Here is a 17,083-nt window from a genome sequence, read left to right as displayed (position 1 = left end):
GGGGCGGGGCGGGGGGAAGGGCAGGGCCCTGCAGGTGCAGGTGGGAAGCCCCCCACCCTACCTGGACAGGCAGGGCTGAGGACGGTCCCCACGGTGGCCCCTATAAGGGACAGGGAGCCTCCCTGGACCCCTTTCCTCCTCTGGAAATGGATGTGGGGGACGCCCAGCACCAGCCCTCACTGGAGGGTGTTGGCTCGGCCTCAAGTGGATGGGGAGAGGTCACGCCCACCCAGAGCCAGCTCCTCCACCCTCCCCTGCAGCCCCTCCCAAGGCTGGGCAGGGTCAAGGTACCAGCTGCAACCCAAGGCTGTGGGCAATAGGGCATCGGCACCCACACCCCCAAGCTTCCAGGGGACGCGGAGGCCGGGCAAGCACTGGAGACTGGAGCAGCACTTGGAGAGGCCAGAGGGAGATTGAGGCTGGAGCCTTAGGTCTGCAGAGGCCAAAACCAGGCTGGCCCTTTGCCCCGTCGGCCACACAAGGGCTCTGCCCCTCCAGTGACCCTCCCAGGAGCAGCGTCCGCAGCACAGATCTCAGGTATGCCTGGGCCACAGCGGGCACACCCAGGGCCCAGGCCGCCTAGACAGAGGCTGGGACCGGGCGTCCTCTGTGGTTCCATCAGCCCTGGAAGTCTGGAAGGTTGTTCGCCCCACATCTCCACCCCACAATCTGACCTAACTTGAGGCGCCTCCTCCTCCTGGGGCCCATCGCCAACAGGCTGCACCCCAGCCTGCTGGGCCCTCCCGGTGCCTGCTTTTACGGGCTTACCTCACTGGTATGACTCAAAGACCTGCCACTGCATTAACGAGGCCCCAGAACGAGCACTTTCTCCTTTGATGAAATTCAGGCCCCCATGGAAACGACCATCAGACACAGCAGCCCCCATCTGGCTACCACGCTTGGGTTCAACAGCCCTTGAGGGCCCACGGCCCTGTGGAGGCAGGAACTTACTTTCTGAGCAGTGGGGTTTGTCTCCCCCAGGCCACAGCAGACACTGCCCACACCCAACACTGCCAGGGAGCGGCGGCCCTCAGTGGGCAAGTCTGAGGGGTTTGACTCTGAAGGGAAGACTCAGAAAAGCAGGAACTTCACCTGCATAAACAGCCCCCATCCTCACAGGACACCTCCTCCAGGAAGCCTGCCCTGATGCCCTGAGATGGGTGTCCCCAGCCCCTGCGCCTCCTGCTTCTATAGCAACTACCCCCTGCCGTGAGACACCAGTTTACACAGCTATGTCCCTGCCAGCAGGGGGTCTGGGGGCAGATGCTCACAGAAGAAGCTCAGAACACGCGTGAGCGAGGATGAACGAGACAGCGGGCACCTGAACGGCCCCCAGAGCCACCAGGTGTCTTGCTGCAATCCCACAGCCTTGCCTGGGCTCATTGGCCCTGGCCATCGATTCATGTCAACAGAAAAGGAAATATTTTCCTTTTTACAGAGAAAAATCACCGCTTCCAAACAAGAGGGTAATTTCACAGGCAGTTGGCCTTGATGGTGAGGCCCTTAATTACCCCAAGGAGACACACGAGCCTGTTCTGTCGCGTGCAGGAATCACTTATGGCCAACCCAGAGCTTCCACACTGGGCCGTGCGAGGCTGGTGGACGGAGCCCCACCCTCCCTACCCCCACCTCACCCCAGGGGCACCTGCCACCTGCCGGACCTGCCCCACCAAGGAACCAGGGCAGGCATCGGGGGACCCCAGCTGGGTCCTGCAGACCTGCGAAGGGGACCCTGGACCCCAGCTGGAGGCAGCTGGAGACTGAGGCATCAGCCCCTCCAACTCCCAGCCCTGCTGTGGTCCACACTTCCTGTGTCCTGGATTTTCACCCACAGGCCAGAAGACAGGTGGGGACACCTCTCCAGACAGTGCCTTCCATGTGGGTCCCCAGCTAAGCCTCGGGCAGCGCACTCTCCCCGCAGGCGCTGCACTTCTGCTGGGTGCCAGCCTGACCGTCCATGGGCCTGGGCATCCAGGCTGACACGGGGGCTCTGCTGAGGCCACAGTGGGGTGGGGAGTGGGGGGCCTGGGTACCTGCAAGTGCCATGAGGTGCTCCCCACCCAATGGAAGCAACCTCCCTTAGCAGTTTTCTCAAAGACATTTGATTTGGGGTCTTGGAGGGGACCCCCATACCAGCATGGCAGCGAGCAGGTGAGAGTATGATGACGGAAGTACCTCAGAGGAGGCACTGCAGAGGCTCCCAGCGCCGGCACAAACCAGCGGGGCCTCAGACAGCGTCATCAGAGTTGCCAGAACCTTCAGGGAACTCCTAACCCTGGGGGTCACCAGAGCCTTCGGAGAACTCCTAACCCCGGGGCCACCCGGCCCACGCGCCCCACCCTCCCGAACACTTGCTGGGCCAGCATGCCAAGCTCTGTCACAGCTGCGCTGCCTCAATCCCTGCAGCTTCCCCAGGCCCCACCCAGGGGGTGAGGGCATGGGGCTCAGCCCCTGCTCTATCTATGCCCCTGTTAGCATTAACGAAACTCGGGTACCCGGGCACCCATGGGATCACTCCACATCCCAGCTTCCCTGTGTGGACATAAGGAGCCCAGAGGCCACTGAAAGGATCAGGGGGCAGCCTGAGGCTGGTGCCCTAATCCGGCTGGGGGGTGCTTGTGGGCAGCAGCAGAGCTGAGACTCCCCAGGCCCACGGGATTCAAAAACTCAAACTCCTGACCTCCACCCCATTCCGTCTCCACTTGGCAATGCTGCCTGCCAGACTCCTACTCAACCCTCAAAGCCCGCTCCCTGAGAGGCCACTCTGCCCTGACTGCTACACGGGTCCCGTGCTGCCATCTAAGGCTGCCTCCACAGAGGTGCCCCTCGGTCCCTCCAGACTGGAAACTTCCCAAGGGCAGAGCAGGGGCTGGGGTCAGTGCCACTCCCTCCCAGGTCCTCTTCGAGGGTGGAGGTGGGAGCACAGAAGGTACCCTCAGCACGTGCCCAAGACCCCTGGGGCGGGGGCTGAAGCTCCACTGTCTCCTGGTGGACTCGTCCCCACTCAGAGCCACAGCCCCACACCCACAAAACCCAGGAGTGGACACCCCCTCTGATCTCACCCCTGAGGGTTCAGGGTACTGCAGCCCCACAGAGGAGGTCACCCACCACCGACCCCAGCCCACGTCAGGCATCCACCGACAGGGCCCACCTGCCAGGATGTCCCCCGCCACAACCTGAACCACGACCTGCCACCTGCAGTGGCCTCGCAGAAGCCGCTGAGACCCAGGGTGCCTAACAGGCTGGAAGTAATGGCAGCCGGCAGCGCCCCCGCCTTGGGAGAACCGCCTCTGGGTCCCCAGCCCGATGCGCTGGTTTCTATGGTAACTTCCCAAGGTCAGCAGGCAGCGCGGCTGGCAAGCGGCACCGGCCTCGGCTCCCAAACAAAAGGCAGCCAGGGCCGCTCTGCTGGGCTCCAGGTCACCAACGCACCGGCCTGGGGGCCGACACCCTACCCTTACTTCCCAGTGTCAGGAACCCTCCTTGGCACCAGGGGGCTTAGCATCAGGGACCGGGGGAGCTCTGAGCACTGGAGCTATTCTTTCTTTTCTGGAAGTCTCCACGTTTCAAATCCTCCTGCCAAACAGGACCCAAAGGAGCACGGCCACAGGGCTGTGCCCAGAACAGCCGCACAGGCCCTTTAATTCAGGACTAGGCCGGTTGTGACGGGGTGGGCTGTCCCACACACGGGGGACCCCAGAGCAGGATGGGCAAGACCCCCATCTGCTCCCACCAGGGTCCCAGCCAGCCGTGCTCTCGGCACCTAATTGGGGTGGCGCTGAGGCCACACTGGTCACGTGCGCGGTCTGGCTGTGCTCCAACGCGATGGTGTGCTCATCAGCCCTCAGCCCGGCACACGGCGTGCGACAATGCCCTAATCATATGCCCCGTCACTCTGCAATCAGACCACACGGTCCCCAGGGCCGGCGCTGATAAGACGCCCTCGTCTCTGGCCGCTGGGTGTGATGCATGTTCAAGCTTATCAGCACCCGCGTGGGGCTGCTAATGGGACACTGACCCGCGGCTGGGCCTGCCATTACCAGGCATTATGGCAATTACATCCTGTAATCCGCATCCTTACACCATCAGGATGAGAGGAGGCTCTGCCACGGGTCCCAGGACCAAAGGCCCTGCCGGGAAGGGCCCAGTGGAGGCTCCCACACCACGCCCCTCCATGCCAACTCCCCCTCCCCACCTCTGCTCTCCTGTTCCCTCTGCCTGGCCCACCCCATCCACACCACCAGTCGGCAAGGACCTGGTGCCTGCAGGGCCTCAGGCCTGGCATTCTGGCAGTGGTGGGGATCAGCAGGGGGGAGAGCAGAGAAACCAGGCACCCCGAGCTCGGGGCCTGGGAAAGCAACCAAGTGATGTCAGACATGGTCCCCCAATGTGGGATGCTCCTGGTGGAGCTGGACCTGCCAACCACAAGCCCGGCTGGCACCGTGGGCACCCGCTCAAGCCCTGCTGCCCCTCCCCTTGTGCTGCCTGAAGGCCAGCCTTGTCCTCTCCGTGGCCCCAGCCTGCGCCTCCCCCGGGCAGCCCCCAATGTCCACAGCTGAGCTGCCCCACTCCGGGCCACATTCTCCAGGCTTCACAGACATTTTCTTGCTGCAGTCACAGCGACTCCTATGAGGAAGAGCCCAGCTGACGGGAGGAAACTGAGGCACAGAGAGGTTAGTTGATTTGCCCAAGATTGCACAGCTCAGAAGAGGCAGGGACCAGGCTCCAACTCAGGCAGGGTCCTGGCCACAGAGCCCCTCCTTGGCAGTGCTCCCCCGAGGATGAGATGCCCCCCAACATCGGGCATGGGGCCCGAGAGGCCGGCAGGCTGTGAGCGGCTCAGCAGCTGTGGTCGGAGCAGCTCCCCATCCACTCGTCTCAGCAGCAAGCATGCCCGAGGTCCCCCAAGAACGGCCCATAGGTCCCCAGGGGCCCACAGCCGGGGCCATGGGGCCCTGCCCACAAGGCTGCCCAGGAAGCCCCAGGACATACCTTATGAAGAAGGAGGCTGCAGCTGAGGGGCCTGTGGAGCCCCCCACCGAGCCCGGGGTGGGGGTGACCAGGGCTGACGTGCAGACTCCACCACGGCCCCAGGCCTTCGACAAGCCATCAGGGCCGGCCACGGGGGGGCATTCTCGGACCGTGTCTGCCACCGCCACGGCCGCCACCGCTGCCTCGGCCTGGAGGGAAGGAGAGAGTGCGTATAAGGAACGCAAGGGCAGAGACACCACTGCCCCCTGGCACCCGGAGTGGGAGAGACAGGCCTGGGCACCCCAGAGCCCAGCACATTCCTGGGGGCTCTGCACCCCCAGGGCCCAGCCTGTGAAGCCGGGAAGGCCCCAGAAATCAGGGCTGGCAGAGAGGCCAGTGGGGAAGGCCTGCCTGGGCCGTGAGGTCACGTTCCCAGCTCGGGGTGTGTGGGCGGTCTGCCCCAGCAGGACTCCTTGGAGGCAGAGAGGGAGGCAGATGGTGGTCCAGAAGCCAGACTTTCCGCCTCTCCCCCATCAAACTCCAGAATCGCAGCGACCACACTGGTCAAGACCGATGGACACAGACCCCCCACCCTCTCACCCCTGAGCCTCCTGGGAGCACCCAGCGGCGTAATTAGAGAAGAAACCACGATAACTATTTGGCAGGAACACTAATTGCCCCACGTACGGTGATGTGTGGCGCTCCCTCATCTGAAATACTACCCTGGCATTTCCAACTCATTAGCTCAAATAAATCCCAGAAAGGGAGGCCTCCTCATAATGAAGCACAAACGTAATTAAACGCCCGGGACAGCCCAGCAAACGTGAGCTCCACCTCCGCACGTTCCATTCCCAGACACGTGGGACCCCGAACCCTCAGGCCAAACCTGGTCCTGGGCGGCGTGGGGGGATGCAACCCCAGGCAAGGCAGGGAAGGCAGCCTGCTTCAGCCTGGCCACCCCTCGCCCCGGCCCCTTCCCCAAGGGCCCAGTGCCCCAAGCTCTCCAAGGACCCCCTTGGGCACCGTGGCCTGGTCAGGTCACGGTCACCCAGGTGCCAAGCGTCATTCGGCCCCAAGTGTCCAGTCGATAACCACTGCCCGAGGCGTCCTTTGTACCCAGGCTAGCAGAGGACTGGGGTCCCCGTGCTGAGGGGACGTGGGCTGGTCTGGAAGGCCCAGCGTCCTCAGGGTGTCCCAAGTGGCACAGGCCAGAGGCCAGGCACGGCACGTCAGCAGAACAAGCCGCCCCGGGACCCAGGAGGGACACTCCAGACAGAGGCCCTGCCATCCCAGACAGTATCCCTCCTCACCACCATGGAGGGCTCACCCTGCCCAACCCATGGCCGGCTCACCCTGCCCAACCCATGGCCGGTACCAGCTTCCAGGCCCCTCCCGGGACCTGGAACAGAACCATGTCTGCGAAAGGAAGTTCACAGGGAGCCCCAAGACTTAGGCTGGATGGAAGCTGGGTGCCCCCTGGGCCCTAGGCACCAGCCACTCCTCCGGGGCTTCCAGAAGGAATGCCCAGTAGCAGAAAAGGGCGAACCTGGGACCTGGAACAGCTCACTGGACATTGCGCCAGCACACCACACCCCACCAGCAGCCTGCAGGCCAGGAACTCCTGTACATCCCTCTGAACCCAGCCCGGCCAGCCCTCTCCTTCTCCCAGCCACTCCCTCACCTCAAGTGTGAATTCTATTTTATCACTTAATGTATGTGCTCCCTATCAAAAGCCTAAACTCCTTTGCTGAGCAGACAGGAAAGAGTGATCTTTAAAGTTACAACATTAACAGCAGGTCCTGAGCCCCTGGAGCAGAGCCGGGTCTGGTTGAGCACCCCTGGGCATGGCAGTCAGCACCCAGGGCCAGTTCTCCTGGGGGCCGGGGCCGCACCACCCACAGCCAGCGTGGCACCCACAGGTGGCTCGTCGCGATGGCACCACCGTGGGGCCACATTTGGCATCCTGGGCCAGGCCCAATCACAGTGTCCAGTGAGGCACCAGGACACCCTGCCTCCCCCACTGGACAGGGGCACCGAGGCTGGAGGGGCTGCAGCAGGGACAGAGCTGCTACACCACAGCCCACCCGGCCCCTCCACCCTCTTCCCACAGGGCCCGAGCCCTCCCCCATCTCAGGCCAGCCACTCCACCTCCGGCCAGAAGGTTCCGGCCCCGCCCAGCAACGGTACAGGCCTGCGGCCAGCTGGGCCTCCCCACACTGACCTGTCTCAGGAGTCCGGCACGCGCCTCGGCTCCACCGTCCCACGCGCTGCCGGGACACCGCCCCATCCGCCGGGACGGCCACTGCCAATTCCTGCCGGAAGCAGAGCCCGGGCATGCCAAAAGAAGCCGTCTGGCAAAGCGAGAGCCGGGGGCAGGGGAGGACGGCGAGAGGGAAGACCACAACACGGGGGCAGAAGAGAGGGGGGGCGGGCGGCCAGACAGAGCATGTGATGGAGGTGCCACAGCAGCAAACGGAAGGAAAGGCAGGAGAGAGGGGAGCGTGAGGCCGAGGGGCGCAGAGCCAAGGGCCCCAAGCATAGCCGCACGGGACCCACCCCACGGGGAGCTTCCTAACCACAGCAGGCACCAGGCGGCCAGCAGAGAGCACCTGCAACCTCGGGGAACACCAGGGTTCCGTGGAGCACAGTTTAGGAAATGCCAAGCTAACTCTCTTCTTAGGAGCCCTCCAGGCCCAAACGCATCTGTAAGGTTCTGGCCCGTGAAAGACACCAGCCCCCCAGATAAACACCTCACTGGGTGCTATTTTGTGCTGAGAAGTGGGGGAGAAAGGGAGGAGGAGGGGCTGAGGAGCGGCCAGGGAGGCTCAGAGCCGAACTCTGTCACCAGTGTCACCCCTGCACGGGTGTGGATGTGCGCCACCCTGCAGAGCCCCATGGGGCGGACTCGCCCACCCACGCGAAGCTCCAGCCTCGTCACTCAAAGGGCCCTAGGGCCTGGACAGCCCTGAGTTCAAAGATCTGCCCCTGCCTGGCCCATCTCAGCCGTGAGGACCACGGGACACCCTCCAGGGCCCCTGCAGCCCAGCACAGCGGTGGCAGGAGCCCCCAAGCCGGTGCCACCCAATCTCCATGTATGGAGGCACCCCCGCTCCTCAGGGCCACCGTCAACACCTCCAGCACCCCACACTGCCCACCGGGCCGCCCCTCTGTGGAGGGCCACGGTGCCACTTGCAACCCACTGTGGGCTCTGAAGGCCAGAGCCTCGGTCTCGCAGCTCAGTTCATAGCGTGAAATGGGCCACGGTTCGCAGCATGTCCCAGACCATGGCAGCCTCTGGTGGTGCAGGCAGGGCACTGGGGTGGGCCCCATGACCACTGTCCAGAGCTCTCAGGGCAGGAGGCGTGGGGCACAGGCACAGGGCCAGGCTCCGTGGGCAGCTTCTGCCCTCTGCAACGGCAGCGCTGCCCCGGCCCAACAGTCCGGGAAGAACCGCTGGACAGCCCTGCCCGGCGGCTCCATAGCCCAGGAGTCTCTGGATGCTCAAGATGTGGGATGTTCCAGGCCCCACCTGTGGCCGCAGGAGGCCCTGGGAGCCCTGGGCCACCCACCACCCCTCCAAGGACCAGCCTTCTGGCCAGACCCAGTAACGTTCAGCATCCCCTGCCAAGCCTCGGCCGAGGCCAAAGTGCCATGGCTGGTCCCTGCCCCTCCTCTCCACATCGTGTAACAGAGGGGGCTGCAGCACCCCCGTCCCACCCGCTGGCCCCAGATCAGTGTTTGCCTTGGAACAATCTCATTCGACCCAGGGGTGGTTGACGGTCTGTGGTGGAGATTTGCAGCGCATCTCTCCACAAGTATTTAACTCTAGAGTCTAACAGGCACCATTAACATTCCAGGGCCACGCTAATGATCGATGCCCTGGTTCAGGGGAAATTACCTCATCTGAATCCTAAAGTTCTATTTATGGTTCTAATAATCTCCCTATCGATCGCCCGGACTGCTGTCTAATTATAAATCCATTCCCACCCACCCTGGCCACGATCAATGTGCACATAACGCTGGGAGAGGGTGCCTAAATGTTCATGGTGTGCCATCCACCAGCAGGGCTGCCCAGCAAGGGGCCTGCGATCTTCTCCACCCCCACCCGCTGGGACCCTCAGCCACGGGCAGGGTGCAGTGAGGCCAAGTGGCCCAGGGAGACAGCAGGAGACGGAGGTGCCTGTGCCCACCATCCTGGGTTTCAGGCCCAGCCCCTGATGCTTCCACACAGGCCCAGCTCAATGAGACCTCCTCCAGGATGCTGCCCAGCTCACCTGCTGCAGCCCCCAGCACCATCCCCGCCCACCCCTCCCAGGATGCCCAGCTCTGGGGCCAGGAGGCACCTCATGGCAAGGGTGGGGTTCGGCTCTGGGGCCAGGAGGCACCTCGTGGCAAGGGTGGGGTTCGGCTCTGGGGCCAGGAGGCACCTCATGGCAAGGGTGGGGTTCGGCTCTGGGGCCAGGAGGCACCTCATGGCAAGGGTGGGGTTCAGCTCTGGGGCCAGGAGGCACCTCGTGGCAAGGGTGGGGCTCCCTCTCCTCGGCCTCACCACAGAGTTCACAGGTGGAAGGGTGTAGGTGCCAAGGCCACAGGGGAACCATCACACCAGCTGGGACCCGGGGGGTGTCCAGAAGTTCCTCCAGTGAGCCTCGGCGTACCTCGACCCCTAGGGCAGCCCAGCAGCCTCAGAAGGACCAGCCCAGCAGCCACTGCCAGGGCAGCTAGTGCCAAGGCCAGCCCCCAGCTGGGGCAGGATCTTGATGTCCAGACAGGCCACCTCACCAGTCACAGGGAGGCCGAAAGCCCAGAAGGCAAGGGCAGGGTCTGCCTGGCCTTAGGATCAGTGGCCAATGTTGCCCCAGAGACTACGGGGTCTCTGCACCTCTGTCTGCCCCTGGAAACACCACCAGGCCTGGAGACCAAGGGAGAAGGGCGAGCTTGTGCTGGTCGCTGTGTGGTGACTAGACAGTGTACCAGGCAGAAACACGGCTCTTCACAGCCACCCACATGTCCCTCTGCCCCCAGGGTGCCACAGGGGCAGGCAACGCATCTCCAGCAATTGCAACTGCCGGTCCCCCGCCCGACGTCCATGGACGCCTCACACCCCCAGGCCTCCACACAGGCCCTCGCTCTGCCACAAGGGCCCTCCTACTCCATCTGCCTCGTGAGCCCCGATCTACACACGGTGCCCTGTGCATCGCCAAGCCCTGTGCTGGGCACTGGTGGGCCCTCAGCCCCAGTCTCAAAAGACAGACAGGGAGGGGCACGTGCTCCCAGAGAAGGTATTCCCTGAGTCAGGCAGGGACCTGAGAACAGCTGCTGTGCACCATCAAGGGTGCATCTGATGTGGGGCCTCAGGAGTGTCAGGAACCCCCATGCCCGCCGTCCCCTCCCTTCAGGGAAGCCTTACTGCAGGGCACTCAACGTGGACAGAGACCCCCGAAGGAAGCCCAGTTCTGACAAGGAGGCCAGCAGCTCCCATCCGCTGAGCAAGACACTCACCAGGCACGCCGGCGGGAGGAAGCTGTTGACCCGCGAGACACTCCACATGCCCTCCAGGCACTGCTGGGCCTGGATGGTGACCGTGCTCAGCGCCCCTCCAAGACCCGCAGGTGCTACAGACACCTGGACACTGGGCCCGGGGGACCAGGCCAGCCCCTTGGTCCTGTCTGGCCCAGCTCGTCCTGGCTGCCTCCCTGCAGGACCCGCTGGTCCTGGCGTGTCCCTCGAGCTGGTCGTGGTGCTGGGGGGTGCGAGGCTGGGGCCTCCATGGGGGGCGTCAAGGTCCTCATGGCTGGCAGGGGCCTGCAGCAGGTGCATGGCCTCCCGTGTGAGCTGCTGCAGGTGTGTGGCGCAGACGTCACAGCGGCGCTCGGCCTCTGGGCGACAGGCTGGCAGGGCCCCAGGTGCTGGTAGCTTGTCGAGAAGCAGGGCAGAGAGGCAAGGATCCTGAGGACAGCAAGGGACAAAGGCAGGGTCAGTGCCTGGGGAGGGAGGGCCGGCACCCAGAGCCCACCAGCACTCTCACCGTCCATGACGCTGCGAGCTCCCGCCTGGCCACCGCACCATCCGTAACAGATTAATAAGCCCAAACACTTTCACCCACACAAGCCCAGCAGGAAAATAATGATCGGGCTTCATCGTGAGGCTCACAATGTCCTTGTTAACTGTCCACCTTCCCCAGCCGTCATTAAGCGCCCCGGCCTGCGGCTAACAAGGCAGGTTTGCGGCTCCCGGACAACCGGACCACTGTCAGCTAAGGCCGCCTGGCCGGGGACACGCAGGAGACTGGCAAGAAGCAGGGCCCCTTAAAAGCAACGTCTCTTCAGAGCCACGAGGGCCTCCCTCACCCACACTCACTCAAGGCAGAGCCAGGGGCAGGAGACCCTCTCCCTTCCTCTTCAGGTCTCCAGCCCCGGTGGGGCAGGTGGAAAATCAAATCAGTGCTGCTGTAAAGGTGTCAACAGAAGCGAAGGCCTCCCTCGGAGACGCTCCTAGAGGGCACATGAGCTCACCGAAGGGGCGCAAGAGCCGCAGGATCGGGTACAGCCCAGGGCCCCACCCCCCGCCGCACACTCCACCAGCTCCCCCACCCAGGTCTGAGCTGTACGCTGGGATGCACCCTGTTTGGTGACTGCCCCCTTCCCTGAACTGGGGGGACACACAGGTTTCTCTAGAACCCTGAGACTGGGTTCTAGAAACGGCTAAAAACAAGAGCCAGAAGAACCCAGAGGAGGATGCGCCTCACCCAGCCTCAGAGTCAGGGAAGGCTTCCTGGAGGCAGTGACATCTTCCAGGAAGAGGAGGAGGAGCAAGAAGGAGACAAGCCACAGAGCAAAGCTCACTGGGAGGGAATCGACCAAGAGGCTTACTCCTCTCTGGGGCCCACCCGTGTCCCTCACCACCCCACCAGGCTCTGGCCTTGCCCCTCCTTGGGACCACTCTGCAACAGTCAGGGCCAGAGTCAGGACCAGTGTCTGTCCTGCTCTCTGGGGAGGGGGCCAGGCCCTCTGCGTCTGCACCCCCTCCCCAAGGGGTGTCTCAGCTATAGGGCACCCAGCCCGGGCAACCCCCAGGACAGCACCAGCCCAGCGCTGCTGTGGCTGTGACCACCTAGGGCTTTCCGAACACCACCCGACAGGGGTCCTCCACCAGCCCCCAACTTTCCCACCACCCGAAACCTGGCCCCAGGCAGTCCCTGGCTCGATGGCTGGCCATGTTGCCTCAAGGGATTCCAGGCAAGACCGGACTCCAATGCAGCCACCCTGTTGGCCACAAAAGGCACTGCAGCCTTCTCAAACGTGCCCATTTCTCAGATGAGGAAGCTGAGGCCCATTATCCCGGGGAGGGGGTGTCTTAGTCACCCCACCCACATTCCTTGAGCCTGCCCTTGGCTGGCTGGGCCCTTGTCCACAGATGCCCTGGAGGCTCACAGTGGTAACAGCTGTGGTCCAGGGTGGCCGGTGCCAGCCAAGCATGTGCGGCAATCATGTTCCCCCAGGACCACCTCACACTCCCCACAGTCCCAGGCAGGTCGCATGAAAAGGCGACCCCCATCAGGCCCAGCTGCCTGATTTATGGGCCACTCCAGAGGCCTGGATTTCCTCCAACCCAGGGCCTGCAGAGCCTCTGAAGTGCCTGGCGCGTCTGGTCCCGATTAGCCAATGCCCCTCCCTCCTGCTGCTTCGGAGATTCGCTGAGGTCAGCCACAAGGAGCCCTGCAGAGAAGGAGGAGGGGGAGGAGGAGGAGGAGGAGGGGGTGGGGGAGGGGGATGAGGAGGGGAAGGAGGAGAAGGGGAAGGGGGAGGAGGAGGAGGGGGAGGGGGACGGGGAGGGGGACCAGGAGGGGGAGGGCCCTACCAGAGCAGACACTGCAGGAGCCCCGCTTAGCTCTGCTGATGCGGCCAGTGGGCACACAGGTCTACATGTAGAACCCAGAACTGGCCCCTGCACAGGCTGAGGGCAGACAGGGCCTGTTTTCCAGTCAGGCTCAGATTATGCTGATTTTCCACTCAGCAGGAGGCTGCCCTGGTGGCCCCGTGTGAAGGGGAAGGAAGTCCCCGCCTGCTGGAGCTATTAACCCAACCTGACAGGCAGCCCGGCCCCCAGCTCGCCGTTCTGGAGCCTCCAGACAGGCCAGGCAGCCTCTGCCCGTCCAGCGACCTCAGGCCTTGGGAAGCCCACCCTGCCCTTCTCTCCAGGGCTGCACAGCAGGAGGCAGGAAGGAGAGTGGAGGGCAGGGGAGGGAGGAAGCCCGGATCGACCTGAGAATGCACCACCCACCACGGGCTGGCCAGGCAGAGGGGCAACAGGGAAAAGGGGACAGGAAGCCAAAGTGGCCCCCACCCAAGCCCCCACCCAGCTTTGCCATCAGGAATTCAGACAGCAGCTGCCAGGGAGGCCCCAGCCCTATCCAGGCCTCGGAGCTCCGGGCATCCAAGTCCCAGGTGTTGGGGGCCAGTGCTGGAGGGGGGCCCATCAAGCTGAAGCCCCCACTGGGGACAAGCCGAGGCTGCTGGTCACCTGCTCAGCAACAGCGGCGGCCCAGGCATCTGGGCCAGGGTACCTTCCCCCAGCAGCCCAGGTGCCAGCCAGCATCCTGGAGGCCGGGCCCCACAGCGAAAGCCCACGAGTGGGCCACGCACCCCTCCCCAGGACGGGCCACGAGGCCCTCCTCTCAGGGACTCTCACCACCCAACCCCGACCCAGCAGGCTCCATGGGGGGCACTGAGAGGCCCACCCAAGGCCCCAGGAATTCAAGGCACAGGGCAGGGGCCATCTCTCCAACCCTAGTCACTTATGCGAGACCGGCCTAGGGCAACACAGCAAGACACTGGATGGGACCAGGCGCCATCGCCCCCACCACTGAGCCATCACACCAGCCAGGCTGCACCAGGCTGGCACAGCATAGGGGCCAGGGCACAGACTGCTCGGGTAGAACAGAACCACAGGGCTGCTTGCCGGGGCCACTCAGAGCCACACAGCCCAGCCCAGAGGACCCGAGACCTCCTATTTGCAGGACCAGCCTGGGGCCCAGCACACTGTCCAGCTAAGACAAGAGGAGAACTCGGCACCCCACTCAGCACACGGGACCAGCACTCAGGGCTCCAGGGAGGGGCTCAGGGAGGCCGCTGCTGACATGGGTGGCTCCCAGGGATGGGCATCTTGGGCCCCAGAAGGTGAAGGCGAGGGTCTCCCACACCACTGACTGCTCCCCGCACAGCAGACCCCAGACGCAGCCCTCAGAGAGACAAAAGCCGCCCAGCCCTGCAGCCCTGCCCCTCCCCTCCCCCTCCCCCTCCCCGGCCACGCACAGCCCCCACCGCCAACAACAACAAATCCTGCTCTGTGGCCACTTCCTGCACCTTCCAACCTCTGCACAGGCTGGGCAGTGGGACCAGGCCTCCTCTCCCAGCCATCCCGGCAGCTCACGGGGTCCTCTGGCCCAAGCCCCCAACGGGTTACTGCCCCCCAATTTCAGGAATCTGAACTCCTCAAAGCCCCAGCCAGCAGGCCCGCCTGTCACCCAGGCCTCCACAGCCTGGTGTCTTGAGGAAGACAGTAATTACTCCACTGCGAAATATGACTTTTAATTTTCTCTTTATGGTCTAATTACACAGATACTTTACTTGCATTTGGAAAATGTTTTTCTTCATTTGATTCAATTTAGCATCAAACATAGCCCACCCATTGCGCGCCTGGGTTTTAGGGAGTCTCCCCCCTACTTACAAATCATGACTTTGTTCTTTATTTTGTTTCTGGGGTCTCCGAGTTGCTTTAAGTAATCCTTCCATTTTCTCCTGCGTGTGAGGCCCGGGGGACTTTACCGGGGACTCCCCGCTCCCCGTCACTGCAGGAGAGAAGTCTCCCCACTCCAGCCAAGCCACTGCCCATGGGAAAGAACAGCTGATCAAACCTCCCCGCCAGGTAAGGCCACCCTGGGACAGCGAGGGGAGTCCTGCTCCCAGTTCAGAGACGCCACGCCATCAGACCCCCAGACCTCAGCCATACGGGGCCCTCCCTGAGTCCCCATCACCCGTCTCCACAAAGGAGCTCTGGCACCCACTGGCAGGGCCGCTGGGAGGGTAACTAGGCCCCGAAGCCCCTCCCCGACCCACGCAGTGAGGCATGCGTGTGCGGGCAGCCCTCAAAAGGACCCCATGGGCCATGACCTCCAGATCTTGCCCTCCCTTTCCTTCCCAAACAAAGCGTGCTGGGCTGCAACCCCGAGCAGCCGCTGTTTCCGGAGCTGACAACAGGTCCAGGAAGGGACCCCCGGCCAGGCAGCAGCCCTCGCAGGTCCTGCTGTCCAGGACATTTCCACGTCTGGTGCAGCCCATCAGGGCGGGGGGCAAGGAGCGGGCTCGGTGCTCCAGTCTGGAAACTGGCTGGCCACACCTGGCTGCCCCGGTGCCCCTCCTGCCCAGCTGGGCACCTCTCCAAAGGCCCAGACCCTCCCTGGTCTGCCAGCCAGGACTCCAGGGACCATTCCCATCCTGTGGGTCTGCAGCTCTGAAGGCCTCCTACCCCCTTCCTCCTCTGCTGGGAGGGGAGGGAGCGGGGACACAACCCAGTCCACCCAGCACTGGCCGGCACGCCATCCCCAAGGGCCTGTGCCAGGCGCCAGTCCAGCTGGGCAGCTCGGGGCACAGACAAGCTCATTGAGACCCTCATCCCCTCAATGGCCTCCCCTGTCCTCCATCGCATGCCATGACTGGGATCTGGGGTTATGGGTGGTTAAAGGCCAGACAGGCAAGGATGGCCCCGGCGAGGTGGGGTGGCAGAGGGGCAGGCTCATCAGGAGCCCCAATGCTCAGAGGCATGCTCAGTGCACTGCAGGGGCCTGGGGGTCACCTGCACACTCAATCCAACTCCATGTAGGCTGCAGTCACCGGGTGAACCAAGGGGCCCCGTGGACTCGGTTTCAAATCAGGCCCCTGCCTCCCAGCGGCCCCAGGCATCCCTGGGCAGAAACCCGGAAACCTCTGCATGTGAGGGGCCACAGGACTGTCCACACCACCAGCCCCTCCTACGAGGCTGCCAAGAGTGCCCAGGATCCCAGGGCTGGAGCACAGCTCCACTCCAAACACAGCCCCCAGAGCGCCCGCCTCCTGTCACCTGGCCTGCCCCGTGGCGGTCTCCACGTGAGCTCCAGCCAGGCCCATCTCGGGGCTTTTCACATGCCCACCCCTTGGAGACCCTCACCCCGTCTCCTTGGTTTAACTCTGAGATCAAACACTGCCGCCCCAGGAGCCGTCCGGATGCCGGGACTGCACCTTCCCAGGGCCCTCCCCATGGTCACAGCAGTTTGCTTATGGAAACACAGTGGAGAAGGAGAAGCCAGGGACAGCCTGGCTCTGTGGCTGCCCCCACTTCTTCCCCACCACGTGGGGCAGCAGCAGGCACAGAGGATCTGCGGTGGTCGCCACCCTCTGCATACCCGCTGCCCGGCTCCTCAGGCCCAAGCCCTCCATGCTCTTCCCACCACTCGGTAGGCACAGGGATGAGTTCAGACCTCCTGGCCTCCGCCCTCAGGACCCTCTCCCCACAGGCCTCTAGGGCATCTATAGAGGGCAGGGACCCCATGCCCCACAAGCTACAGCCCCTCCCACAACACCAAATGCAGCCAGGAAGTTGGGCAGGACCAGGACGAGCCTTCTCCCAATCACCCAGCAGGCAAGCTGGGCCCCTGGCACCATCCCAACACCCAGACACTCCCCTGCCAGGTACCCCAGGCCTCCCTGCACAGCCCTAGGGGCCACCCACCCCCAAAAACAACCACCCTGTTCACTGGCTACCAGGAGTCTGTGACCCCTTTATAGACTGAGGCTCAGAGAGACTGAGACACCTGCCTCAGGCCACACCACCAGGGTCGCAGAGCTGGGGTTCCAACTCAGACCTGGGTGACTCCAGGGCCCAGAGACGCACCCTTGCCACTGCCCTGCTGGCCCCATCTTGGGGAGCCTCTGGGCTGATGGGGTGGCCCCAGTCCCACCCTCAGGAGAAAAAGATGGAGAGCCAGGCGTGGAAGATAAAGCTTGGAGCCAGGTCGCCTGACACTTCTTCCTGGTGAAGGCAAATTTGCGGGGGTCGGGGAGAGGGGGCCCTAGGG

General features: G+C 63.8%; 1 protein-coding gene across 2 annotated transcripts in view, besides 4 other annotated features; it reads right to left on the bottom strand.

Moving 5' to 3' along the window:
• The window catches only part of KIF26A (kinesin family member 26A), a 42,308-nt gene that overhangs the window by 17,960 nt on the left and 7,265 nt on the right, over positions 1 to 17,083 (bottom strand). Inside the window, exons 3-4 of one of the 2 annotated variants that reach the window (NM_015656.2) lie at positions 10,474 to 10,920; positions 4,993 to 5,180 (exon numbers count right to left, since the gene is read on the bottom strand). In NM_015656.2, coding sequence (NP_056471.1) covers positions 4,993 to 5,180; positions 10,474 to 10,920 — 635 coding nt within the window. Of the gene's footprint in view, positions 1 to 4,992; positions 5,181 to 10,473; positions 10,921 to 17,083 lie in introns of those variants that run through there. The other variant, XM_011536641.3, reaches the window with a different exon arrangement.
• Positions 7,653 to 8,153: an enhancer, noted in NCBI's record as "H3K4me1 hESC enhancer chr14:104621119-104621619 (GRCh37/hg19 assembly coordinates)". NCBI's record gives its function as "activates a minimal SCP1, AML or CMV promoter by ChIP-STARR-seq in naive and primed H9 embryonic stem cells {active_cell/tissue: H9 hESC(naive and primed)}" and the evidence as "EXISTENCE:reporter gene assay evidence [ECO:0000049][PMID:30033119]".
• Positions 8,154 to 8,654: an enhancer, noted in NCBI's record as "H3K4me1 hESC enhancer chr14:104620618-104621118 (GRCh37/hg19 assembly coordinates)". NCBI's record gives its function as "activates a minimal SCP1, AML or CMV promoter by ChIP-STARR-seq in naive H9 embryonic stem cells {active_cell/tissue: H9 hESC(naive)}" and the evidence as "EXISTENCE:reporter gene assay evidence [ECO:0000049][PMID:30033119]".
• Positions 11,200 to 11,713: an enhancer, noted in NCBI's record as "H3K4me1 hESC enhancer chr14:104617559-104618072 (GRCh37/hg19 assembly coordinates)". NCBI's record gives its function as "activates a minimal SCP1, AML or CMV promoter by ChIP-STARR-seq in naive H9 embryonic stem cells {active_cell/tissue: H9 hESC(naive)}" and the evidence as "EXISTENCE:reporter gene assay evidence [ECO:0000049][PMID:30033119]".
• Positions 13,775 to 14,290: an enhancer, noted in NCBI's record as "H3K27ac-H3K4me1 hESC enhancer chr14:104614982-104615497 (GRCh37/hg19 assembly coordinates)". NCBI's record gives its function as "activates a minimal SCP1, AML or CMV promoter by ChIP-STARR-seq in primed H9 embryonic stem cells {active_cell/tissue: H9 hESC(primed)}" and the evidence as "EXISTENCE:reporter gene assay evidence [ECO:0000049][PMID:30033119]".

Source organism: Homo sapiens, chromosome 14, assembly GCF_000001405.40.
Source record: "Homo sapiens chromosome 14, GRCh38.p14 Primary Assembly".
NCBI lineage: Eukaryota > Metazoa > Chordata > Mammalia > Primates > Hominidae > Homo > Homo sapiens.
Note: the sequence above shows the minus strand (reverse complement) of the source record. Positions and strands in the feature narration are given on the sequence as shown.